The 27,497-nt window shown below is 36.1% G+C and overlaps 1 protein-coding gene across 1 annotated transcript, besides 9 other annotated features; it reads left to right on the forward strand.

The window, feature by feature from the left end:
* Positions 1–1,166: part of a biological region, named in NCBI's record as "albumin (ALB) 5' regulatory region", that runs on past the window's edge. NCBI's record gives its function as "regulatory_interactions: AFP | ALB | LOC111832670".
* Positions 5–1,166: a promoter, noted in NCBI's record as "-1103/+47; SacI/BstEII fragment". NCBI's record gives the evidence for it as "EXISTENCE:reporter gene assay evidence [ECO:0000049][PMID:2304474]".
* Positions 739–778: an enhancer, noted in NCBI's record as "Lf-B1 upstream element". NCBI's record gives the evidence for it as "EXISTENCE:reporter gene assay evidence [ECO:0000049][PMID:2304474]".
* Positions 746–1,151: a promoter, noted in NCBI's record as "0.4 kb promoter; -367/+39". NCBI's record gives the evidence for it as "EXISTENCE:reporter gene assay evidence [ECO:0000049][PMID:16608438]".
* Positions 879–898: a protein binding site, noted in NCBI's record as "C/EBP site". NCBI's record gives the evidence for it as "EXISTENCE:protein binding evidence [ECO:0000024][PMID:16608438]".
* Positions 1,081–1,087: a TATA box. NCBI's record gives the evidence for it as "COORDINATES:motif similarity evidence [ECO:0000028][PMID:3009475]".
* ALB (albumin) lies at positions 1,111–18,306 on the forward strand. Its single transcript, NM_000477.7, has 15 exons — positions 1,111–1,230; positions 1,940–1,997; positions 3,453–3,585; positions 5,418–5,629; positions 6,179–6,311; positions 7,136–7,233; positions 8,820–8,949; positions 10,244–10,458; positions 11,859–11,991; positions 13,080–13,177; positions 14,355–14,493; positions 14,912–15,135; positions 16,331–16,463; positions 17,078–17,145; positions 17,916–18,306. Exons 1-14 carry the CDS (start codon positions 1,152–1,154, stop codon positions 17,120–17,122), a joined length of 1,830 nt encoding a protein of 609 aa, NP_000468.1. The 5' UTR covers positions 1,111–1,151; the 3' UTR covers positions 17,123–17,145; positions 17,916–18,306.
* Positions 27,017–27,425: an enhancer, noted in NCBI's record as "hE2". NCBI's record gives the evidence for it as "EXISTENCE:reporter gene assay evidence [ECO:0000049][PMID:15028291]".
* Positions 27,017–27,497: part of a biological region, named in NCBI's record as "alpha fetoprotein (AFP) 5' regulatory region", that runs on past the window's edge. NCBI's record gives its function as "regulatory_interactions: AFP | LOC111832671".
* Positions 27,229–27,253: a protein binding site, noted in NCBI's record as "C/EBP site 3". NCBI's record gives the evidence for it as "EXISTENCE:protein binding evidence [ECO:0000024][PMID:15028291]".

The raw sequence follows: 27,497 nt of genomic DNA on the forward strand, positions 1-27,497 counted from the left end.
GGTTGAGCTCAGTAGTTCTTCATATTCTGAGCAAAAGGGCAGAGGTAGGATAGCTTTTCTGAGGTAGAGATAAGAACCTTGGGTAGGGAAGGAAGATTTATGAAATATTTAAAAAATTATTCTTCCTTCGCTTTGTTTTTAGACATAATGTTAAATTTATTTTGAAATTTAAAGCAACATAAAAGAACATGTGATTTTTCTACTTATTGAAAGAGAGAAAGGAAAAAAATATGAAACAGGGATGGAAAGAATCCTATGCCTGGTGAAGGTCAAGGGTTCTCATAACCTACAGAGAATTTGGGGTCAGCCTGTCCTATTGTATATTATGGCAAAGATAATCATCATCTCATTTGGGTCCATTTTCCTCTCCATCTCTGCTTAACTGAAGATCCCATGAGATATACTCACACTGAATCTAAATAGCCTATCTCAGGGCTTGAATCACATGTGGGCCACAGCAGGAATGGGAACATGGAATTTCTAAGTCCTATCTTACTTGTTATTGTTGCTATGTCTTTTTCTTAGTTTGCATCTGAGGCAACATCAGCTTTTTCAGACAGAATGGCTTTGGAATAGTAAAAAAGACACAGAAGCCCTAAAATATGTATGTATGTATATGTGTGTGTGCATGCGTGAGTACTTGTGTGTAAATTTTTCATTATCTATAGGTAAAAGCACACTTGGAATTAGCAATAGATGCAATTTGGGACTTAACTCTTTCAGTATGTCTTATTTCTAAGCAAAGTATTTAGTTTGGTTAGTAATTACTAAACACTGAGAACTAAATTGCAAACACCAAGAACTAAAATGTTCAAGTGGGAAATTACAGTTAAATACCATGGTAATGAATAAAAGGTACAAATCGTTTAAACTCTTATGTAAAATTTGATAAGATGTTTTACACAACTTTAATACATTGACAAGGTCTTGTGGAGAAAACAGTTCCAGATGGTAAATATACACAAGGGATTTAGTCAAACAATTTTTTGGCAAGAATATTATGAATTTTGTAATCGGTTGGCAGCCAATGAAATACAAAGATGAGTCTAGTTAATAATCTACAATTATTGGTTAAAGAAGTATATTAGTGCTAATTTCCCTCCGTTTGTCCTAGCTTTTCTCTTCTGTCAACCCCACACGCCTTTGGCACAATGAAGTGGGTAACCTTTATTTCCCTTCTTTTTCTCTTTAGCTCGGCTTATTCCAGGGGTGTGTTTCGTCGAGATGCACGTAAGAAATCCATTTTTCTATTGTTCAACTTTTATTCTATTTTCCCAGTAAAATAAAGTTTTAGTAAACTCTGCATCTTTAAAGAATTATTTTGGCATTTATTTCTAAAATGGCATAGTATTTTGTATTTGTGAAGTCTTACAAGGTTATCTTATTAATAAAATTCAAACATCCTAGGTAAAAAAAAAAAAAGGTCAGAATTGTTTAGTGACTGTAATTTTCTTTTGCGCACTAAGGAAAGTGCAAAGTAACTTAGAGTGACTGAAACTTCACAGAATAGGGTTGAAGATTGAATTCATAACTATCCCAAAGACCTATCCATTGCACTATGCTTTATTTAAAAACCACAAAACCTGTGCTGTTGATCTCATAAATAGAACTTGTATTTATATTTATTTTCATTTTAGTCTGTCTTCTTGGTTGCTGTTGATAGACACTAAAAGAGTATTAGATATTATCTAAGTTTGAATATAAGGCTATAAATATTTAATAATTTTTAAAATAGTATTCTTGGTAATTGAATTATTCTTCTGTTTAAAGGCAGAAGAAATAATTGAACATCATCCTGAGTTTTTCTGTAGGAATCAGAGCCCAATATTTTGAAACAAATGCATAATCTAAGTCAAATGGAAAGAAATATAAAAAGTAACATTATTACTTCTTGTTTTCTTCAGTATTTAACAATCCTTTTTTTTCTTCCCTTGCCCAGACAAGAGTGAGGTTGCTCATCGGTTTAAAGATTTGGGAGAAGAAAATTTCAAAGCCTTGTAAGTTAAAATATTGATGAATCAAATTTAATGTTTCTAATAGTGTTGTTTATTATTCTAAAGTGCTTATATTTCCTTGTCATCAGGGTTCAGATTCTAAAACAGTGCTGCCTCGTAGAGTTTTCTGCGTTGAGGAAGATATTCTGTATCTGGGCTATCCAATAAGGTAGTCACTGGTCACATGGCTATTGAGTACTTCAAATATGACAAGTGCAACTGAGAAACAAAAACTTAAATTGTATTTAATTGTAGTTAATTTGAATGTATATAGTCACATGTGGCTAATGGCTACTGTATTGGACAGTACAGCTCTGGAACTTGCTTGGTGGAAAGGACTTTAATATAGGTTTCCTTTGGTGGCTTACCCACTAAATCTTCTTTACATAGCAAGCATTCCTGTGCTTAGTTGGGAATATTTAATTTTTTTTTTTTTTTAAGACAGGGTCTCGCTCTGTCGCCCAGGCTGGAGTGCAGTGGCGCAATCTCGGCTCACTGCAAACTCCGCCTCCCGGGTTCACGCCATTCTCCTGCCTCAGCCTCCCGAGTAGCTGGGACTACAGGCGCCCGCCATCACGCCCGGCTAATCTTTTGTATTTTTAGTAGAGATGGGGTTTCACCGTGTGCCAGGATGGTCTCAATCTCCTGACATCGTGATCTGCCCACCTCGGCCTCCCAAAGTGCTGGGATTACAGGAGTGAGCCACCGCGCCCGGCCTATTTAAATGTTTTTTAATCTAGTAAAAAATGAGAAAATTGTTTTTTTAAAAGTCTACCTAATCCTACAGGCTAATTAAAGACGTGTGTGGGGATCAGGTGCGGTGGTTCACACCTGTAATCCCAGCACTTTGGAAGGCTGATGCAGGAGGATTGCTTGAGCCCAGGAGTTCAAGACCAGCCTGGGCAAGTCTCTTTAAAAAAAACAAAACAAACAAACAAAAAAATTAGGCATGGTGGCACATGCCTGTAGTCCTAGCTACTTAGGAGGCTGACGTAGGAGGATCGTTTGGACCTGAGAGGTCAAGGCTACAGTGAGCCATGATTGTGCCACTGCACTCCAGCCTGGGTGACAGAGTGAGACTCTGTCTCAAAAAAGAAAAAGGAAATCTGTGGGGTTTGTTTTAGTTTTAAGTAATTCTAAGGACTTTAAAAATGCCTAGTCTTGACAATTAGATCTATTTGGCATACAATTTGCTTGCTTAATCTATGTGTGTGCATAGATCTACTGACACACGCATACATATAAACATTAGGGAACTACCATTCTCTTTGCGTAGGAAGCCACATATGCCTATCTAGGCCTCAGATCATACCTGATATGAATAGGCTTTCTGGATAATGGTGAAGAAGATGTATAAAAGATAGAACCTATACCCATACATGATTTGTTCTCTAGCGTAGCAACCTGTTACATATTAAAGTTTTATTATACTACATTTTTCTACATCCTTTGTTTCAGGGTGTTGATTGCCTTTGCTCAGTATCTTCAGCAGTGTCCATTTGAAGATCATGTAAAATTAGTGAATGAAGTAACTGAATTTGCAAAAACATGTGTTGCTGATGAGTCAGCTGAAAATTGTGACAAATCACTTGTAAGTACATTCTAATTGTGGAGATTCTTTCTTCTGTTTGAAGTAATCCCAAGCATTTCAAAGGAATTTTTTTTAAGTTTTCTCAATTATTATTAAGTGTCCTGATTTGTAAGAAACACTAAAAAGTTGCTCATAGACTGATAAGCCATTGTTTCTTTTGTGATAGAGATGCTTTAGCTATGTCCACAGTTTTAAAATCATTTCTTTATTGAGACCAAACACAACAGTCATGGTGTATTTAAATGGCAATTTGTCATTTATAAACACCTCTTTTTAAAATTTGAGGTTTGGTTTCTTTTTGTAGAGGCTAATAGGGATATGATAGCATGTATTTATTTATTTATTTATCTTATTTTATTATAGTAAGAACCCTTAACATGAGATCTACCCTGTTATATTTTTAAGTGTACAATCCATTATTGTTAACTACGGGTACACTGTTGTATAGCTTACTCATCTTGCTGTATTAAAACTTTGTGCCCATTGATTAGTAACCCCTCGTTTCGTCCTCCCCCAGCCACTGGCAACCAGCATTATACTCTTTGATTCTATGAGTTTGACTACTTTAGCTACCTTATATAAGTGGTATTATGTACTGTTTATCTTTTTATGACTGACTTATTTCCCTTAGCATAGTGCATTCAAAGTCCAACCATGTTGTTGCCTATTGCAGAATTTCCTTCTTTTCAAGGCTGAATAATATTCCAGTGCATGTGTGTACCACATTTTCTTTATCCATTAATTTGTTGATTGATAGACATTTAGGTTGGTTTTCTACATCTTGACTATCATGAATAGTGTTGCAATGAACACAGGAGAGCTACTATCTCTTAGAGATGATATCATGGTTTTTATCATCAGAAAACACCCACTGATTTCTATGCTAATTTTGTTACCTGGGTGGAATAATAGTACAGCTATATATTCCTCATTTTAGATATCTTTGTATTTCTACATACAATAAAAAAGCAGAGTACTTAGTCATGTTGAAGAACTTTAAACTTTTAGTATTTCCAGATCAATCTTCAAAACAAGGACAGGTTTATCTTTCTCTCACCACTCAATCTATATATACCTCTTGTGGGCAAGGCCAGTTTTTATCACTGGAGCCTTTCCCCTTTTTATTATGTACCTCTCCCTCACAGCAGAGTCAGGACTTTAACTTTACACAATACTATGGCTCTACATATGAAATCTTAAAAATACATAAAAATTAATAAATTCTGTCTAGAGTAGTATATTTTCCCTGGGGTTACAGTTACTTTCATAATAAAAATTAGAGATAAGGAAAGGACTCATTTATTGGAAAGTGATTTTAGGTAACATTTCTGGAAGAAAAATGTCTATATCTTAATAGTCACTTAATATATGATGGATTGTGTTACTCCTCAGTTTTCAATGGCATATACTAAAACATGGCCCTCTAAAAAGGGGGCAAATGAAATGAGAAACTCTCTGAATGTTTTTCTCCCCTAGGTGAATTCACCTGCTGCTTAGAAGCTTATTTTCTCTTGATTTCTGTTATAATGATTGCTCTTACCCTTTAGTTTTAAGTTTCAAAATAGGAGTCATATAACTTTCCTTAAAGCTATTGACTGTCTTTTTGTCCTGTTTTATTCACCATGAGTTATAGTGTGACAGTTAATTCTTATGAAAATTATATAGAGATGGTTAAATCATCAGAAACTGTAAACCTCGATTGGGAGGGGAAGCGGATTTTTAAATGATTTCCTGACCAAGCTTAACCAGTATATTAAATCCTTTGTACTGTTCTTTGGCTATAAAGAAAAAAGGTACTGTCCAGCAACTGAAACCTGCTTTCTTCCATTTAGCATACCCTTTTTGGAGACAAATTATGCACAGTTGCAACTCTTCGTGAAACCTATGGTGAAATGGCTGACTGCTGTGCAAAACAAGAACCTGAGAGAAATGAATGCTTCTTGCAACACAAAGATGACAACCCAAACCTCCCCCGATTGGTGAGACCAGAGGTTGATGTGATGTGCACTGCTTTTCATGACAATGAAGAGACATTTTTGAAAAAGTAAGTAATCAGATGTTTATAGTTCAAAATTAAAAAGCATGGAGTAACTCCATAGGCCAACACTCTATAAAAATTACCATAACAAAAATATTTTCAACATTAAGACTTGGAAGTTTTGTTATGATGATTTTTTAAAGAAGTAGTATTTGATACCACAAAATTCTACACAGCAAAAAATATGATCAAAGATATTTTGAAGTTTATTGAAACAGGATACAATCTTTCTGAAAAATTTAAGATAGACAAATTATTTAATGTATTACGAAGATATGTATATATGGTTGTTATAATTGATTTCGTTTTAGTCAGCAACATTATATTGCCAAAATTTAACCATTTATGCACACACACACACACACACACACACTTAACCCTTTTTTCCACATACTTAAAGAATGACAGAGACAAGACCATCATGTGCAAATTGAGCTTAATTGGTTAATTAGATATCTTTGGAATTTGGAGGTTCTGGGGAGAATGTCGATTACAATTATTTCTGTAATATTGTCTGCTATAGAAAAGTGACTGTTTTTCTTTTTCAAAATTTAGATACTTATATGAAATTGCCAGAAGACATCCTTACTTTTATGCCCCGGAACTCCTTTTCTTTGCTAAAAGGTATAAAGCTGCTTTTACAGAATGTTGCCAAGCTGCTGATAAAGCTGCCTGCCTGTTGCCAAAGGTATTATGCAAAAGAATAGAAAAAAAGAGTTCATTATCCAACCTGATTTTGTCCATTTTGTGGCTAGATTTAGGGAACCTGAGTGTCTGATACAAACTTTCCGACATGGTCAAAAAAGCCTTCCTTTTATCTGTCTTGAAAATCTTTCATCTTTGAAGGCCTACACTCTCGTTTCTTCTTTTAAGATTTGCCAATGATGATCTGTCAGAGGTAATCACTGTGCATGTGTTTAAAGATTTCACCACTTTTTATGGTGGTGATCACTATAGTGAAATACTGAAACTTGTTTGTCAAATTGCACAGCAAGGGGCCACAGTTCTTGTTTATCTTTTCATGATAATTTTTAGTAGGGAGGGAATTCAAAGTAGAGAATTTTACTGCATCTAGATGCCTGAGTTCATGCATTCATTCCATAAATATATATTATGGAATGCTTTATTTTCTTTTCTGAGGAGTTTACTGATGTTGGTGGAGGAGAGACTGAAATGAATTATACACAAAATTTAAAAATTAGCAAAATTGCAGCCCCTGGGATATTAGCGTACTCTTTCTCTGACTTTTCTCCCACTTTTAAGGCTCTTTTTCCTGGCAATGTTTCCAGTTGGTTTCTAACTACATAGGGAATTCCGCTGTGACCAGAATGATCGAATGATCTTTCCTTTTCTTAGAGAGCAAAATCATTATTCGCTAAAGGGAGTACTTGGGAATTTAGGCATAAATTATGCCTTCAAAATTTAATTTGGCACAGTCTCATCTGAGCTTATGGAGGGGTGTTTCATGTAGAATTTTTCTTCTAATTTTCATCAAATTATTCCTTTTTGTAGCTCGATGAACTTCGGGATGAAGGGAAGGCTTCGTCTGCCAAACAGAGACTCAAGTGTGCCAGTCTCCAAAAATTTGGAGAAAGAGCTTTCAAAGCATGGTAAATACTTTTAAACATAGTTGGCATCTTTATAACGATGTAAATGATAATGCTTCAGTGACAAATTGTACATTTTTATGTATTTTGCAAAGTGCTGTCAAATACATTTCTTTGGTTGTCTAACAGGTAGAACTCTAATAGAGGTAAAAATCAGAATATCAATGACAATTTGACATTATTTTTAATCTTTTCTTTTCTAAATAGTTGAATAATTTAGAGGACGCTGTCCTTTTTGTCCTAAAAAAAGGGACAGATATTTAAGTTCTATTTATTTATAAAATCTTGGACTCTTATTCTAATGGTTCATTATTTTTATAGAGCTGTAGGCATGGTTCTTTATTTAATTTTTTAAAGTTATTTTTAATTTTTGTGGATACAGAGTAGGTATACATATTTACGGGGTATATGAGATATTTTGATATAAGTATACAACATATATAATCCCTTTATTTAATTTTATCTTCCCCCCAATGATCTAAAACTATTTGCTTGTCCTTTTATGTCTTATAGTTAAATTCAGTCACCAACTAAGTTGAAGTTACTTCTTATTTTTGCATAGCTCCAGCTCTGATCTTCATCTCATGTTTTTGCCTGAGCCTCTGTTTTCATATTACTTAGTTGGTTCTGGGAGCATACTTTAATAGCCGAGTCAAGAAAAATACTAGCTGCCCCGTCACCCACACTCCTCACCTGCTAGTCAACAGCAAATCAACACAACAGGAAATAAAATGAAAATAATAGACATTATGCATGCTCTCTAGAAACTGTCAATTGAACTGTATTTGCTCATCATTCCTACCATCTACACCACCAAAATCAACCAAATTTATGAAAAAAAACAGCCCCAACATAAAATTATACACAGATAAACAGGCTATGATTGGTTTTGGGAAAGAAGTCACCTTTACCTGATTTAGGCAACTGTGAAATGACTAGAGAATGAAGAAAATTAGACGTTTACATCTTGTCATAGAGTTTGAAGATAGTGCTGGATCTTTCTTTTTATAAGTAAGATCAATAAAAACTCCCTCATTCTGTAGAAGTTATGATTTCTTTTCTAAGAGACCTTTAGAAGTCAGAAAAAATGTGTTTCAATTGAGAAAAAAGATAACTGGAGTTTGTGTAGTACTTCCCAGATTATAAAATGCTTTTGTATGTATTATCTAATTTAATCCTCAAAACTTCTTCAATTTAGCATGTTGTCATGACACTGCAGAGGCTGAAGCTCAGAGAGGCTGAGCCCTCTGCTAACAAGTCCTACTGCTAACAAGTGATAAAGCCAGAGCTGGAAGTCACATCTGGACTCCAAACCTGATGCTTCTCAGCCTGTTGCCCCTTTTAGAGTTCCTTTTTAATTTCTGCTTTTATGACTTGCTAGATTTCTACCTACCACACACACTCTTAAATGGATAATTCTGCCCTAAGGATAAGTGATTACCATTTGGTTCAGAACTAGAACTAATGAATTTTAAAAATTATTTCTGTATGTCCATTTTGAATTTTCTTATGAGAAATAGTATTTGCCTAGTGTTTTCATATAAAATATCGCATGATAATACCATTTTGATTGGCGATTTTCTTTTTAGGGCAGTAGCTCGCCTGAGCCAGAGATTTCCCAAAGCTGAGTTTGCAGAAGTTTCCAAGTTAGTGACAGATCTTACCAAAGTCCACACGGAATGCTGCCATGGAGATCTGCTTGAATGTGCTGATGACAGGGTAAAGAGTCGTCGATATGCTTTTTGGTAGCTTGCATGCTCAAGTTGGTAGAATGGATGCGTTTGGTATCATTGGTGATAGCTGACAGTGGGTTGAGATTGTCTTCTGTGCTTTCGTCTGTCCTATCTTCAATCTTTCCCTGCCTATGGTGGTGGTACCTTTCTGTTTTTAACCTGGCTATAAATTACCAGATAAACCCATTCACTGATTTGTAACTCCTTTCAGTCATGCTCTAACTGTAAATGAAGGCTTAAACTGAAGTAGAACAGTTACAAGGTTTTACTTGGCAGAACATCTTGCAAGGTAGATGTCTAAGAAGATTTTTTTTTCTTTTTTTAAGACAGAGTTTCGCTCTTGTTTCCCAGGCTGGGGTGCAATGGTGTGATCTTGGCTCAGCGCAACCTCTGCCTCCTGGGTTCAAGTGATTCTCATGCCTCAGCCTCCCAAGTAGCTGGGATTACAGGCATGCGCCACCACACCTGGCTAATTTTGTATTTTTAGTAGAGGCGGGGTTTCACCATATTGTCCAGACTGGTCTCGAACTCCTGACCTCAGGTGATCCACCCGCCTTGGCCTCCCAAAGTGCTGGGATTACAGGCATGAGCCACCTTGCCCAGCCTAAGAAGATTTTTTGAGGGAGGTAGGTGGACTTGGAGAAGGTCACTACTTGAAGAGATTTTTGGAAATGATGTATTTTTCTTCTCTATATTCCTTCCCTTAATTAACTCTGTTTGTTAGATGTGCAAATATTTGGAATGATATCTCTTTTCTCAAAACTTATAATATTTTCTTTCTCCCTTTCTTCAAGATTAAACTTATGGGCAAATACTAGAATCCTAATCTCTCATGGCACTTTCTGGAAAATTTAAGGCGGTTATTTTATATATGTAAGCAGGGCCTATGACTATGATCTTGACTCATTTTTCAAAAATCTTCTATATTTTATTTAGTTATTTGGTTTCAAAAGGCCTGCACTTAATTTTGGGGGATTATTTGGAAAAACAGCATTGAGTTTTAATGAAAAAAACTTAAATGCCCTAACAGTAGAAACATAAAATTAATAAATAACTGAGCTGAGCACCTGCTACTGATTAGTCTATTTTAATTAAGTGGGAATGTTTTTGTAGTCCTATCTACATCTCCAGGTTTAGGAGCAAACAGAGTATGTTCATAGAAGGAATATGTGTATGGTCTTAGAATACAATGAATATGTTCTGCCAACTTAATAAAGGTCTGAGGAGAAAGTGTAGCAATGTCAATTCGTGTTGAACAATTTCCACCAACTTACTTATAGGCGGACCTTGCCAAGTATATCTGTGAAAATCAAGATTCGATCTCCAGTAAACTGAAGGAATGCTGTGAAAAACCTCTGTTGGAAAAATCCCACTGCATTGCCGAAGTGGAAAATGATGAGATGCCTGCTGACTTGCCTTCATTAGCTGCTGATTTTGTTGAAAGTAAGGATGTTTGCAAAAACTATGCTGAGGCAAAGGATGTCTTCCTGGGCATGTAAGTAGATAAGAAATTATTCTTTTATAGCTTTGGCATGACCTCACAACTTAGGAGGATAGCCTAGGCTTTTCTGTGGAGTTGCTACAATTTCCCTGCTGCCCAGAATGTTTCTTCATCCTTCCCTTTCCCAGGCTTTAACAATTTTTGAAATAGTTAATTAGTTGAATACATTGTCATAAAATAATACATGTTCATGGCAAAGCTCAACATTCCTTACTCCTTAGGGGTATTTCTGAAAATACGTCTAGAAACATTTTGTGTATATATAAATTATGTATACTTCAGTCATTCATTCCAAGTGTATTTCTTGAACATCTATAATATATGTGTGTGACTATGTATTGCCTGTCTATCTAACTAATCTAATCTAATCTAGTCTATCTATCTAATCTATGCAATGATAGCAAAGAAGTATAAAAAGAAATATAGAGTCTGACACCAGGTGCTTTATATTTGGTGAAAAGACCAGAAGTTCAGTATAATGGCAATATGGTAGGCAACTCAATTACAAAATAAATGTTTACATATTGTCAGAAGTTGTGGTGATAAACTGCATTTTTGTTGTTGGATTATGATAATGCACTAAATAATATTTCCTAAAATTATGTACCCTACAAGATTTCACTCATACAGAGAAGAAAGAGAATATTTTAAGAACATATCTCTGCCCATCTATTTATCAGAATCCTTTTGAGATGTAGTTTAAATCAAACAAAATGTTAATAAAAATAACAAGTATCATTCATCAAAGACTTCATATGTGCCAAGCAGTGTGTGCTTTGTGTAGATTATGTCATATAGTTCTCATAATCCACCTTCCGAGACAGATACTATTTATTTTTTGAGACAGAGTTTTACTCTTGTTGCCCAGGCTGGAGTGCAATGGTGCCATCTCGGCTCACCACAACCTCCGCCTCCCAGGTTCAAGCGATTCTCCTGCCTCAGCCTCCTGGGATTACAGGCATGCACCACCATGCCTGGCTAATTTTGTATTTTTAGTAGAGATGGGGTTTCACCATGTTGGTCAGACTGGTCTCAAACTCCTGACCTCTGGTGATATGCCTGCCTCAGCCTCCTAAAGTGCTGGGATTACAGGCATGAGCCACTGTGCCCAGCCGACAGATACTATTATTATTTCCATTCTACCGAGAAGGAGACTAAGGCTCTGATCATTTAAATAAGTTGCCTAAGGTGATGCAGTGATATAAGTAGCAGAGCTAGGAATTGAGCCTTGGTAACTTTAACTCTGGACCCCAAGTCCTTAGCTACTAAGCTTTACTGCATGGGGTTTAGTCAAATTAAGACTTTTGGAATATGAGTTACTTTTGAGATTAGCTTTGTGATATTTTTTGTGCTCATTTGTCCAACAAAGTCTATTTTATTTTCATCTTAATTAGGTTTTTGTATGAATATGCAAGAAGGCATCCTGATTACTCTGTCGTGCTGCTGCTGAGACTTGCCAAGACATATGAAACCACTCTAGAGAAGTGCTGTGCCGCTGCAGATCCTCATGAATGCTATGCCAAAGTGGTAGGTTTATTGTTGGAAAAAAATGTAGTTCTTTGACTGATGATTCCAATAATGAGAAAGAAAAATAATGCAAGAATGTAAAATGATATACAGTGCAATTTAGATCTTTTCTTGAGATGGTTTCAATTCTGGAATCTTAAACATGAAAGAAAAAGTAGCCTTAGAATGATTAACAAAATTTAGACTAGTTAGAATAGAAAGATCTGAATAGAGCAATCTCTAAAAAATTTTGATCTTTTTTTCTCTTTTTCACAATCCTGAGAACAAAAAAAAATTAAATTTAAATGTTAATTAGAAGATATTTAACTTAGATGTAAAGTGAGTTAACCTGATTCCAGGATTAATCAAGTACTAGAATTAGTATCTTATGGCAAATTATAGAACCTATCCCTTTAGAATATTTTCAAATCTTTTTGAGGATGTTTAGGAATAGTTTTACAAGAAATTAAGTTAGGAGAGGAAATCTGTTCTGGAGGATTTTTAGGGTTCCCACTAGCATATGTAATGGTTTCTGAACTATTCAGAATCAGAGAAAACTCATTTTTCCTGCTTTCAAGAAGCTACTGTATGCCAGGCACCATGCACAAACAATGACCAACGTAAAATCTCTCATTTTGGAGAGCCTGGAATCTAACTGGAAAGGTGAACTAATAATAATAATATGTACAATCATAGCCATCATTTATTAAACTTTTATTATATGCAAGGCACTGTTTAATTTCATTAGCTTACCTGGTTTACAGAGCAGCTCTATGAGATGAGTGCCATCTTTGCCCCTATTTTAGGGATAAGGATTCTGAAATGTGGAGATGGTAAGTAAAATTGCACAACTGAAGAATGAGTTACATGACTTGGCTCAAATACTGGTCATTGAACTCCAGAGCCTGAATATTCTTAACCACTTACATGATGCAAGCTCACCAAATAAATAGTTCGAATGTATTGTGACAGAGCGGCATTGATATTCATCTATTCATGTGGCTTTGAGTAGGAAGAAGAAAGGATATCATTCTGACCAGAGGGGTGAAAAACAACCTGCATCTGATCCTGAGGCATAATACTATTAACACAATTCTTTTATGTTTCAGTTCGATGAATTTAAACCTCTTGTGGAAGAGCCTCAGAATTTAATCAAACAAAATTGTGAGCTTTTTGAGCAGCTTGGAGAGTACAAATTCCAGAATGCGTAAGTAATTTTTATTGACTGATTTTTTTTATCAATTTGTAATTATTTAAGACTTAATATATGAGCCACCTAGCATAGAACTTTTAAGAATGAAAATACATTGCATATTTCTAATCACTCTTTGTCAAGAAAGATAGGAGAGGAGAGATAAAATAGTTGATGGGGTGGAGAGGTCTATATTTGAATGTAGTCTAAAAATTGTTCTCTTAAGATTGGAAGTATGTAGGCTGGGAGGGTAAATACCAAATCTTGGTATATCAGAACTGAGCATGTCCCTTGAAGGTTAAGAAATAGTTAATGGGCAAATAGAGCATGGCAATATTTTGTAGAGCAGCAAGTAGTAGGCCTTGAATAGATGTCGCTCAAAAAGTAATATGTAAGCTGAACACAAAAATGTAACAAATGAATTTAGATACATATTTGAATATTAAATTCAGGTTGTTTGGGAGATGCACCTAGTCTTTGATGGTTAAACCTTTCCCTCCATAGAAGAGACAGAGACAGAATGGCTTGCTGGACTAATGTCCCAATTCAATAGAGTCTTATCTATGAAGGTTAAAAACAAGAAGAGACATATTATACAGTAGATATTTATTGTGTGGCTCATACACATGGTGCTCTTCTGATTATGGATTTTAGAGATAATAACAGTGAACAAGACATAGTTTCTTTCCTCGAGTAGATTAAAGTCATACATTGACTTTTAATGGTGACTGGCATTCTTAATACATGATTATTATATATTAGGTACCATGTCAGATTAATTATAATACTTTACTACTTTTAATTTAACCCTTGAACTATCCCTATTGAGTCAGATATATTTCCTTCCATTTTCTACTTGTATCTTTCAAGTTTAGCATATGCTGATACATATGAAGCTCTCTCCAGGTTTTATTGAAAGAAGAAATTAATAAATTTATTAATGTCACTGAATTAGGCAACTCACTTTCCCAAGATTATGCAAGTGGTACAGGTGGAACTCAAAGCCAAGTTTAACTAGTTGTTCAGGAGAATGTTTTCTACCCTCCACTAACCCACTACTCTGCAGATGGAGATAATATGATGAATGGAACATAGCAACATCTTAGTTGATTCCGGCCAAGTGTTCTCTGTTTTATCTACTATGTTAGACAGTTTCTTGCCTTGCTGAAAACACATGACTTCTTTTTTTCAGGCTATTAGTTCGTTACACCAAGAAAGTACCCCAAGTGTCAACTCCAACTCTTGTAGAGGTCTCAAGAAACCTAGGAAAAGTGGGCAGCAAATGTTGTAAACATCCTGAAGCAAAAAGAATGCCCTGTGCAGAAGACTATGTGAGTCTTTAAAAAAATATAATAAATTAATAATGAAAAAATTTTACCTTTAGATATTGATAATGCTAGCTTTCATAAGCAGAAGGAAGTAATGTGTGTGTGTGCATGTTTGTGTGCATGTGTGTGTGCATGCACGTGTGTGTATGTGTGATATTGGCAGTCAAGGCCCCGAGGATGATAATTTTTTTTTTTTTTTTGAGACGGAGTCTCGCTTTGTTGTCCAGGCTGGAGTGCAGTGGTGCCATCTCGGCTCACTGCAACCTCCGCCTCCCAGGTTCAAGCCATTCTCCTGCCTCAGCCTCCCAAGTAGCTGGGACTACAGGTGCATGCCACCATGCCTGGCTAATTTTTTGTATTTTTAGTAGAAAATTTTCAGCTTCACCTCTTTTGAATTTCTGCTCTCCTGCCTGTTCTTTAGCTATCCGTGGTCCTGAACCAGTTATGTGTGTTGCATGAGAAAACGCCAGTAAGTGACAGAGTCACCAAATGCTGCACAGAATCCTTGGTGAACAGGCGACCATGCTTTTCAGCTCTGGAAGTCGATGAAACATACGTTCCCAAAGAGTTTAATGCTGAAACATTCACCTTCCATGCAGATATATGCACACTTTCTGAGAAGGAGAGACAAATCAAGAAACAAACGTGAGGAGTATTTCATTACTGCATGTGTTTGTAGTCTTGATAGCAAGAACTGTCAATTCAAGCTAGCAACTTTTTCCTGAAGTAGTGATTATATTTCTTAGAGGAAAGTATTGGAGTGTTGCCCTTATTATGCTGATAAGAGTACCCAGAATAAAATGAATAACTTTTTAAAGACAAAATCCTCTGTTATAATATTGCTAAAATTATTCAGAGTAATATTGTGGATTAAAGCCACAATAGAATAACATGTTAGGCCATATTCAGTAGAAAAAGATGAACAATTAACTGATAAATTTGTGCACATGGCAAATTAGTTAATGGGAACCATAGGAGAATTTATTTCTAGATGTAAATAATTATTTTAAGTTTGCCCTATGGTGGCCCCACACATGAGACAAACCCCCAAGATGTGACTTTTGAGAATGAGACTTGGATAAAAAACATGTAGAAATGCAAGCCCTGAAGCTCAACTCCCTATTGCTATCACAGGGGTTATAATTGCATAAAATTTAGCTATAGAAAGTTGCTGTCATCTCTTGTGGGCTGTAATCATCGTCTAGGCTTAAGAGTAATATTGCAAAACCTGTCATGCCCACACAAATCTCTCCCTGGCATTGTTGTCTTTGCAGATGTCAGTGAAAGAGAACCAGCAGCTCCCATGAGTTTGGATAGCCTTATTTTCTATAGCCTCCCCACTATTAGCTTTGAAGGGAGCAAAGTTTAAGAACCAAATATAAAGTTTCTCATCTTTATAGATGAGAAAAATTTTAAATAAAGTCCAAGATAATTAAATTTTTAAGGATCATTTTTAGCTCTTTAATAGCAATAAAACTCAATATGACATAATATGGCACTTCCAAAATCTGAATAATATATAATTGCAATGACATACTTCTTTTCAGAGATTTACTGAAAAGAAATTTGTTGACACTACATAACGTGATGAGTGGTTTATACTGATTGTTTCAGTTGGTCTTCCCACCAACTCCATGAAAGTGGATTTTATTATCCTCATCATGCAGATGAGAATATTGAGACTTATAGCGGTATGCCTGAGCCCCAAAGTACTCAGAGTTGCCTGGCTCCAAGATTTATAATCTTAAATGATGGGACTACCATCCTTACTCTCTCCATTTTTCTATACGTGAGTAATGTTTTTTCTGTTTTTTTTTTTTCTTTTTCCATTCAAACTCAGTGCACTTGTTGAGCTCGTGAAACACAAGCCCAAGGCAACAAAAGAGCAACTGAAAGCTGTTATGGATGATTTCGCAGCTTTTGTAGAGAAGTGCTGCAAGGCTGACGATAAGGAGACCTGCTTTGCCGAGGAGGTACTACAGTTCTCTTCATTTTAATATGTCCAGTATTCATTTTTGCATGTTTGGTTAGGCTAGGGCTTAGGGATTTATATATCAAAGGAGGCTTTGTACATGTGGGACAGGGATCTTATTTTACAAACAATTGTCTTACAAAATGAATAAAACAGCACTTTGTTTTTATCTCCTGCTCTATTGTGCCATACTGTTAAATGTTTATAATGCCTGTTCTGTTTCCAAATTTGTGATGCTTATGAATATTAATAGGAATATTTGTAAGGCCTGAAATATTTTGATCATGAAATCAAAACATTAATTTATTTAAACATTTACTTGAAATGTGGTGGTTTGTGATTTAGTTGATTTTATAGGCTAGTGGGAGAATTTACATTCAAATGTCTAAATCACTTAAAATTGCCCTTTATGGCCTGACAGTAACTTTTTTTTATTCATTTGGGGACAACTATGTCCGTGAGCTTCCGTCCAGAGATTATAGTAGTAAATTGTAATTAAAGGATATGATGCACGTGAAATCACTTTGCAATCATCAATAGCTTCATAAATGTTAATTTTGTATCCTAATAGTAATGCTAATATTTTCCTAACATCTGTCATGTCTTTGTGTTCAGGGTAAAAAACTTGTTGCTGCAAGTCAAGCTGCCTTAGGCTTATAACATCACATTTAAAAGCATCTCAGGTAACTATATTTTGAATTTTTTAAAAAAGTAACTATAATAGTTATTATTAAAATAGCAAAGATTGACCATTTCCAAGAGCCATATAGACCAGCACCGACCACTATTCTAAACTATTTATGTATGTAAATATTAGCTTTTAAAATTCTCAAAATAGTTGCTGAGTTGGGAACCACTATTATTTCTATTTTGTAGATGAGAAAATGAAGATAAACATCAAAGCATAGATTAAGTAATTTTCCAAAGGGTCAAAATTCAAAATTGAAACCAAAGTTTCAGTGTTGCCCATTGTCCTGTTCTGACTTATATGATGCGGTACACAGAGCCATCCAAGTAAGTGATGGCTCAGCAGTGGAATACTCTGGGAATTAGGCTGAACCACATGAAAGAGTGCTTTATAGGGCAAAAACAGTTGAATATCAGTGATTTCACATGGTTCAACCTAATAGTTCAACTCATCCTTTCCATTGGAGAATATGATGGATCTACCTTCTGTGAACTTTATAGTGAAGAATCTGCTATTACATTTCCAATTTGTCAACATGCTGAGCTTTAATAGGACTTATCTTCTTATGACAACATTTATTGGTGTGTCCCCTTGCCTAGCCCAACAGAAGAATTCAGCAGCCGTAAGTCTAGGACAGGCTTAAATTGTTTTCACTGGTGTAAATTGCAGAAAGATGATCTAAGTAATTTGGCATTTATTTTAATAGGTTTGAAAAACACATGCCATTTTACAAATAAGACTTATATTTGTCCTTTTGTTTTTCAGCCTACCATGAGAATAAGAGAAAGAAAATGAAGATCAAAAGCTTATTCATCTGTTTTTCTTTTTCGTTGGTGTAAAGCCAACACCCTGTCTAAAAAACATAAATTTCTTTAATCATTTTGCCTCTTTTCTCTGTGCTTCAATTAATAAAAAATGGAAAGAATCTAATAGAGTGGTACAGCACTGTTATTTTTCAAAGATGTGTTGCTATCCTGAAAATTCTGTAGGTTCTGTGGAAGTTCCAGTGTTCTCTCTTATTCCACTTCGGTAGAGGATTTCTAGTTTCTTGTGGGCTAATTAAATAAATCATTAATACTCTTCTAAGTTATGGATTATAAACATTCAAAATAATATTTTGACATTATGATAATTCTGAATAAAAGAACAAAAACCATGGTATAGGTAAGGAATATAAAACATGGCTTTTACCTTAGAAAAAACAATTCTAAAATTCATATGGAATCAAAAAAGAGCCTGCAGAACCAAAGTAAGACTAAGCAAAAAGAACAAATTACCTGATTTCAAACTACACTATAAGGCCATAGTCACCGAAACAGCAAGGTACTGGTATAAAAATAGGCACACAGACCAATGGAATAGAACAGAATAGAGAACCCAGAAATAAATCCACATACTTACAGCTAACTGATTTTAGACAAAGAAAACAAAAACATAAGGTGGGGAAAGGACAACTTTTTCAACAAATGGTGCTAGGATAATTGGCAAGCACATGTAGGAGACTGAAGCTAGATCCTCATCTCTCACCTTATACAAACATCAACTCAAGATGGATTAGGAACTTAAATCTAAGGCCTAAAACTATAAAAATTCTAGAAGATAACATTGGGAAAAACCCTTCTACATATAGGCTTAGGCAAGGATTTCATGACCAAGAACCCAAAACAAATACAATGAAAACAAAGATAAATTGCTGGGACTTCATTAAACTAAAGAGCTTTTGCATGGCATGGCAAAAGAAACAGTCAGCTGAGTAAACAGACAACCCACAGAGTGAGAAAAAAATCTTCACAATCTATACTTCTGACAAAGGACTAATATCCAGACTCTACAATGAACTCAAATCAACAAGAAAAAAAAAATCCCATCAAAAAGTGGGCTAAGGACATGAATAGACAATTCTCAAAAGAAAATATACAAATTGAAAACAAACATGAAAAAATGCTCATCATCACTAATAATCATGGAAATGCAAATCAAAACCACACTGTGATACCACCTTACCTCTGCAAGAATGGCCATAATTAAAAAAATAAAAAAATAGTAGATGTTGGCATGGATGCAATGAACAGGAAACACTTCTACACTGATGGTGGGAATGTAAACTGGTACAATTACTATGGAAAACAGTGTGAAGATTCCTCAAAGAACTGAAATAAAACTACCATTTGATTCAATAATCCCACTACTGGGTATCTATCCAGAGGAAAAAAAGTCATTATACAAAAAAGATACTTGCACACGCATGTTTATAGCAGCACAATTTGCGATTGCAAAAATGTGGGACCAACCCAAATGCCCATCAATCAACGAGTAGATAAAGAAACAGTATATATCACTGTTTCTTTATCCACTCGTTGATTGATATACATCATATATATTGATATACATGATGATATATATACACATATATATAGATATACATATATATATGTAGTATTTCATTGTGTGTATGGATATATGTATATATCAATGGAATACTACTCAGCCATAAAAAGGAATGAATTAATGACATTTGCAGCGACCTGGATGAGACTGGAGACTATTATTCTAAGTGAAGTAACTCAGGAATGGAAAAGCAAACGTTATATGTTCTCACTTATAAGTGGGAGCTAAGCTATGAGGATGCAAAGGCATAAGAATGACACAATGGACTTTGGGGACTCATAAAAGACTACAAACATGGTACAGTGTATACTGCTCGGGTGATGGGTTATGGGTGATGGGTGCACCAAAATCTCACAGATCACCACTAAAGAATTTACTCATGTAACTAAACACGACCTCTTCCCCAATAACCTATGGAAATTAAAAAATTTTAAAAAATAAAATAGCTAGTAATATTACAAAACACCCATATGATGCAATGTTATACCATCACTCAATAGCATTTTCAGGGCCATTTGTCCTGTAGGTGTTAAATTTATTAAATACTTATTATATGCCAAAATGTAAAACATGGCTTTTCTTTACTATTCAGACACTATAAGAAATTTTGAGGAACAAAGGAGATAGAGATGATGATAAGTGTGGTTGACAGAATTGGGGGAAAAAAGTGATCTTAGAAGAAATTTAAGACAGTTTAGAATAACAGCACTCAAAGAGTGTAAGAAGTTTGGAGAAGCCTTATTGGAAGAGGAATTAGAACACCTGGAGAAACATACAGTAAGAAGTGATGAAGGTCTACTGAACTGATGAGCTGGAGGAGTTGGAGGGTGAATGTTTCTTGTAAAACACTAAAATATTATTCTGGGCCTCTTTTTCCTGTTCCCAGAGGTAAGTCATATCATACCTTTGTCTATAAATGTACAAGTCTATCAGACCTTTGTTTATGAATTTACAGGCCTCTTAGATCTTTGTCTATTAATTCACATACTTATTTTATCCTTATTAGTTTGTGTTTTTAAAATTTTTATCAAATTGGTTTCATACTGTACATGCTATTCCACAACTTGTTCTTAACAACACTGCTTAATAGTTTCATTTTAAGTGTGGTGCTTACGAAAGGTTCTAGTACAAAGTTACAAAAAGTTTCTTTCTATTGCTGGAATGTTCTGCGCTCCCCACCATTCCACTCCCCTGTCCCTAAGCAGCCCCCACTTTGGTCCGTGTTGAATGTATCGAACATATTTTTTTTCACATTTGTTGCAATCATCACAAAAGTCAGAGAGTGCTCAGAAAAAGAGAAATGGAGATGGTGGGCCCTGGCTGGTCAAAGGCCCCAGAGACGGACCTAGAAAATGTTCAATAAAGCGCTGTCACTGAACTGGACCTACACAGGACCGGGTCTGGGCACCCTGTATCAATAGCAATGCCACCCTGACCAGTCTCAGGCACCAAAGACGAACTTAAAACTTTTGGAAAAAGATTCCCCCATATATGGTAACCTGAGCTCCAGCTTCCCCACTTCCCATGGAGTCGACCAGAATCCCAGAGGAACTCAACAGTTAAGCCTATAGAGCCAGACTCACTGCTCTAGTTTCAGAGAGTGGTCTGGCAAGCTCATCACTCTGGCTAGCTGGCTTTTTTGTTTGTTTGTTTTTTTCCTGCACAGTGTGGAAGATTGGTACACCCGAATGTACCAATGGTGCAGGCACATCGATGTGCGTGCACGTGTGTGTGTGTGTGTGTGTAAAATGTTGTTTTCATATAATATTGGAGGGCACATGGTATGATATCAACATGATTTATCATGGGGATATTAGGATTGATCACTTGGTTAAGGTGGTGTTTGCCAGGTTTCTCTACCGTGAAGTTATCACTTTTCCCTTTCCATACTCTATTTTTGGAAGCAAATCATGAAATCCAGCCCACACTGAAAGAGAGGGAGAGGGATAAGCTTCTGAAAATGGGAGTAGCTACATGTCTTATTTATATTTTCATAAGAAAGACTTGTTATTTAATTGTTCATTTATGTCAGTATAAACTCATATATATTATATACTTTGGGTTATAATTCAATGCCACATTATTTAGTTGCTCAAAGTATCTCAGCTTTGGGGCCTCTTTTTGGTTGGCTCCCCTATGCCTTTGACAGGTCTCTATACTTTGTTTTCTTTCTGGCATTGCAAGCTGCCTCAGGCTCATCTTATATTTCCCTTTCCCAGCCCTAGAAATGGCCATTTCTTAAGGAAGGCCTGGTTCTCTTTATTAGAGAATGGTTTTACAAAGATCTGAGTGCTGGGTATTCTCATTGCTAATGGGATATCACTGCTTCTAGACCATTTCAGGGAATGGAGCTAAGAAAGGTAGGTATGAATACTAATATTCATATCTTCATTTGAATACACACACACAAACATAACTGTAATTATTTCTGTACGTATGTAGCTATCTTTCTGGTTAATGATGAGTTCATACTGATGTCTCTGACTCTAATCCAGAACCACAGGACTTATTCTAGCCTTCCTCCTTGCCTCTATGACAGCAAGAAACTTCTCTTCCACTATCTAGCCTCCATCTACCCATTTGTTCCACCTCAGGATGCATGTAAAGGAGTTTCAGAGTTATAAACCCATTTCTCCATGAAAATCAAATTTACTAACTAGAGTGCAGTGTTTACATACAGTTCCTTTTGTCTTTAGCCATACGATTTCCAGTCAAAACATTATTCTCCAAAGTCATGTAGGTCAGCTCCATTTTTGCATTACCATCTTCTGTGAAGTCATGACAGGTGACTTTGGGTGGCTCATTCACACTGAACACAAAATAAGTTTAGGGCACTGGCCTTTGACTTGCCTTTGGGCTTGAGCTGTATGTGTGGGCCACCCAGCAGCTCTTTCCACCTAAGTAGGCTTTGCCTACAATACATAAAGGTAGCAGCAGTGGTGACAGGTATCCTTTACCCAGTGCATTCTCTGCCACAGGTACCCAGGGTGGTCACTCCATTTCTCTATAGATTCCACATCAATTGTCAGGCAGTCTTTGAGGGTGACCATGCCTATCTCTTCCAAGGGCTTTGAAGACCATGGGTCTGCAATACCAGTGGACCCTTCCAGTGGATGTCCTCTCTTGCCTCCATCGACATGGTTACATTATGCTTCCCTGGGTTGGTTTTAAAGTCCTGCCAAACATTTCTTGGAGGAATGTGAACACTCTTTTTGTTTCACCTTAGGCCCCTCACCTATTCTTACTGTTGGTGGTTGTGTGTGGAAGGCAGGGGTGTAAGTAACATTAAAATAGGTCACATTGTAGAAATGCTGTGATCATGTCCTAAGAATTTAGGAGAAAACGTGGTCGAAAGATGTGTTGTTCTCTTTATGTTAAGAAAGTCTGAGTAGTAAATTTAACATGACAGAGATTTGCATTTGTGCTTATTATCAGTGAAACACAAGAGTCACTGGAAGCCAGAATTGAGGGTGACGTGATGGATGATGCAGGATCATAAGTAATGATGTAACCAGCTTTAAATTAAATCAATGGTAATCGAGAACTGTAGAGGCAAGAAGATTTATTTGTTTCAATACGAACAACCTCCAAAGAGACATTGTGTCTTGAGTAATAACAGCATTGCTACTTTTTTTTTTTGAGATGGGAGATATAAAGTTAGCCCGGAATGAAATGCATTTGACAATAAAGAACGTAGTTCCACCTCAGGATGGTACCAATAGGTACCATCAGGGTACCAACAGGGTACCAACAGGGTAGACCTGAACAGGAAGAGATGGTGCCTGAACATTAAGAAGAATCTTCATGTGCACCAATTGGACAGTAAGAAACTATGTCAGTCTGGCTTCTATACTCGTTATTCTAAATCTCAATAAATTAATACAGTTTACATGAGTGCATGCTGGTGTTGCATAAATCAGAGGGCACTATTAATGTAAAATAAAATGCGAAGGGTGCCTCCTGGAATTTAGCAACGTGGGCTATTTTTATTACTATTGTTAACATTTTAGGGATTTGGTTTATGAAAGGGCAGCTGAGATTGTGATAAGGCAGCTATTTTGTGACAGATGAGCTGGATACATGGAAAGTACACATGGAAGCCCATCATTCCTACCCTTCCCTGCTGACCTAACAAGTCTCTTTGCTCTTCTTAACTACTTTACAAAGTCCAGACCTGACTACCCTTCCAATCTCTTTTTCTTCCTGCCTTCAATGCCCTAATCAGTTTGAACTTCATACTATTCATTAGCACACCATGCTTTTCATGCCTCCCTTACATGGATTCCTATTATCTGGAATGTCTTTCTTTGTCTTTTTTATCCGTTTAATCCAGCTGAAATGTTACGTTCTTTGAGGAAATTTTTCTGAATAGAGCTGGTCATTTCTTTCCTGATGGTCCTTGACTCTTTGAACCTGACTTATTACAGCACTCACATTCTTTTTAAAAACTTCATGTTAATATCCACATTTATATTTTATTATAATAATTGTAGATTTTATATCTACTTTAAATATATATGATCTGAGTCCCAGGGCTTGAATTTGAACACACAAGGTTCTGACCCCTGAAAGCTGACTCATTTAATGGTGTCAGTTCATTACATATCTCTCTCTTCAACTAGATAGTGTTTCTCATCAGAAGGGATCATGAATTAGAAGTCCATGTATCTCTCCTGGTACTTAGTGTAACCTGGTACATAGTAAGTATGCAATTAAAATTAGATGAATAAATTAATTTATACCATGGGCTTTAAATATTCTAAACTACAAATCACAGAATCCTGACTTACAATAATTTCCTGGACTTCCAAAATAGCATATATAGTATATTGAATTTTATAAATATTTGAATCATGAGAATTTGTGCTTTAAGAAAATAACCATGATTCATTTTATTTTTCAACTTTGAATAATAACAATTTCTCCACATTAAGAAGTATCAAGAACTGCGTGTCCGAAGGTGGCAGACATAGTAATGTCTCATATGGTGGTGTCACTTTTGTATCACTTTAATTGGTTTAGAATTATCCAAATTATCTCTCTCGTGTGAGTAACTGATGAATAAATACATGAATACATGGATGGCACCAAAAAAAGAACTTTGGCATTTTGATATTTATCTTTTGGGGAAGGTAGAATCTTCTGACCAGTGAAATATTTTATGTTAATAAAATGTTATGTGTGATGGTTGATGTACAGGGGGAGTAATAGTCATTTGCCCATTTTACTTAATTCATGTGTATGCTGTGTAATTTCTTCAACACTAGAGTGTGAAGCAGTTACTTGGACAATATCTGAAAAATACTGCATACAAATGAACAAATTACTTTTCCATATTTACTCTCTATCTCCATTCACGTCTCACTCAGTTCTTTTTGTTGCAAAAATCTTTATTCATTTGGTCAATTGATATCTGTGCCCTGGAGACTGGTTTCTTAAAACCCCAGCAAAGAGTCTCAAGGGAAGAATTGAAATAAGGAGCTATTTGAAATAAGAATTGAAATAAGGGGTGTTGTAAATACCAAATAGAGGAAGTCCATCCTGTTTGTGTGGGGAGAGGTCCTCATCTACCTCAGGTGGAGTAATTTGGTTGGTGACTTGAAGAGCCATCCAGATGAGTATTAGGAGTCATAAATATCTTCAAGTGATGGAAGAGGACGCCTGCAAGGCAGACACATGCTCCCAAGCTTCCAATGAGGTTATCCCATGTCTTTGGGCTTGGCACTGGGACATTAGAGCAGAGGCTACAAAGGAGCAGAGCACAGAGTTTAGCTCCAATGGCTGCCAAGAAGACTACGTGCCAAAATTAGGATGCTTCTGCACTATAGGAAAGATGATCTCTTGGTTTTAAAAACTGTAATAGAAAAAAAATTGTAGAACACCACAAACAACACCCAAATACTAGCTCTACTTATTCTTTCCACTGCCTGAAGGATTGGCTCTTCTATACTCAGAACAGTCTTGGATGACACAGCTGGCCTCCCTAACTTTGTGATGGGGCAGACAACAGATGCCATGTTTGGACAATACTGACTCAGTGCAAAGATGACCAGGAGGCATTGGGAATGGCAATGGAGATTTCTTCTGACCTAGCTTCTGACTTTTTTTAATGACAGAAATTGTGAGGCCACAGTAAAATCCACTCACAAATTTCTTACATCCCGCAGAATACAAGAGAGCACATATGTTCTTATTCTTTTTTAGGAACATCAAAAATAAGAGCATTTCTCTAAATAAAACAGAGCTTGTTTAGAAATAGGTAGTCTATCTTCTGGGAAGTGGCATGACTTGCTTAAGAATAATAAATAATAATTCTAGTTTTTATTCTATATATTTTCTATGATAAGAATATATATTGACAATTCTCTCTCTCTCTCTCTTTCCCTGTGTGTGTGTGTGTGTGTGTGTGTGTGTGTGTGTGTCTTAGTCTTCTCAAGCTGTCAAAACAAAATACCATAGCCTGGGTGACTTAAACAACAGAATTTATTTTCTCATAGTTCTGGAGGCTAGAAAGTTTATGATCAAGATTCTGGCAAAGTTTAGTTTCTGGTGAGGGCTCTGTTCCAGGCCTATAGTTGACCACCTTCTTGCTACGTCCTTATATGGCAGAGAAAGCAAGCAAGCTCTTTGACATTATAGGGGTAGCAATCTCATCATGAGGCTCCTGCTTGCATGATCTCATCGAACCCTAATTACCTCCTAAAGACTCCATCTCCAAGTGTCATCACATTGGGGGTTAGGACTTCAACATATGAATTTGCTAAGGGGAAGAGAGAGACACAAACATCTAGTCCATAACAGACAGTGAAATCTCTTGACTAAGTAAGGAATTTTTTCTGAAACTTCTATAACAATGAGCCATCACTGAACCTTGTGAAATGCTATAGTTTAAATGCATGTGTTGCTCCAAAATTCACAAGTAAGAACATAATATCCAGTGTGATAGCAATAAGAGATAGAGCCTTTTGGGACGTGATTAATCCACCCTCATGGTTGCATTAATGCTCTTATAAAAGAAGCTGAAGGGTGCCCTAGTGCCCTTTTGGCATTCCCTTTCTTCTGACTTGTGGGGACACCTAAATGAGAAACAGTCCTCACCCGGCACAGAACCTGTTGGTGCCTTAATCTTGGACTTCCTGGTCTCTGGAACTGTGAGAAAAACATTTCTGTTGTTTTCAACTTACCCAGTTTCAAGTGTTTTGTTATGGTATCACAAATGATCTAATGGACTAAGACATTAAGAAAAGGGAGTATTAGTATTCAGCAATGATGCTGATGATGGCAGATGGCCATGGACACCCTTTGTTATTTCTAATACCCTGTCATTGCTATAGAAGCTGGGAAGAGAAGGAGTCCATATGAAAAAGTCATTACAAAAAAAGATTTAGGAAGTGTTATTTTCTGTGCAAGTTATTGTTCTAGGAGATGCTTTAAAAGTGTTTTTCTCTCAAGCAGTTGACAGTCTCTTTGAGCATGTGGACCAGTTCTGCTGTTTTAAGGAGCTATGCCCAGCCTAGCATAGGCAACCAACTTACAGAATAAGAAATGCTGTTAATGGAACATAGATTTTTGTAAAATGTATTTTCAGTTGGCCCTTGACTTACTTTGCTCTATCTCTGCATGACCCGTATTGATGTCTTAGTTCACCTTGCTGACCTTGAGGCACTTCTATCCTTTTAAGTTTGGCAGGCAAGATTGGTTGCCTAATCTGACTGACTCCTTTGAATTTGTTCCCGTGTGGGAGGGAGAAAAAAATGTATTTTTTTTCCCTTTACAAACCAGGGACAAGATCCCTTTGATGAAGTGAAATAGTCTTCTTTTTTTAAGCAAATACTTTATTTATAAGTATAATAGCTTTTGGGGGGCAGCAAATGGGAAAGGTGAAGTCTTGTACTCTAGAGCATGATTCAAATAGATAGGCTCAAATTAAACAAATGGAGGGATAGTTTGTTCTGCCTA

Source organism: Homo sapiens, chromosome 4 (assembly GCF_000001405.40).
Source record: "Homo sapiens chromosome 4, GRCh38.p14 Primary Assembly".
Lineage (NCBI taxonomy): Eukaryota > Metazoa > Chordata > Mammalia > Primates > Hominidae > Homo > Homo sapiens.

Coding starts and splice junctions, on each gene's coding strand:
- ALB (NM_000477.7), top strand. CDS start 1,152: ATGAAGTGGGTAACCTTTATTTCCCTTCTTTTTCTCTTTAGCTCGGCT. Junction 11,992..13,079: donor ATGAATGCTATGCCAAAGTG/GTAGGTTTATTG, acceptor TTTATGTTTCAG/TTCGATGAATTTAAACCTCT. Junction 16,464..17,077: donor AGACCTGCTTTGCCGAGGAG/GTACTACAGTTC, acceptor CTTTGTGTTCAG/GGTAAAAAACTTGTTGCTGC.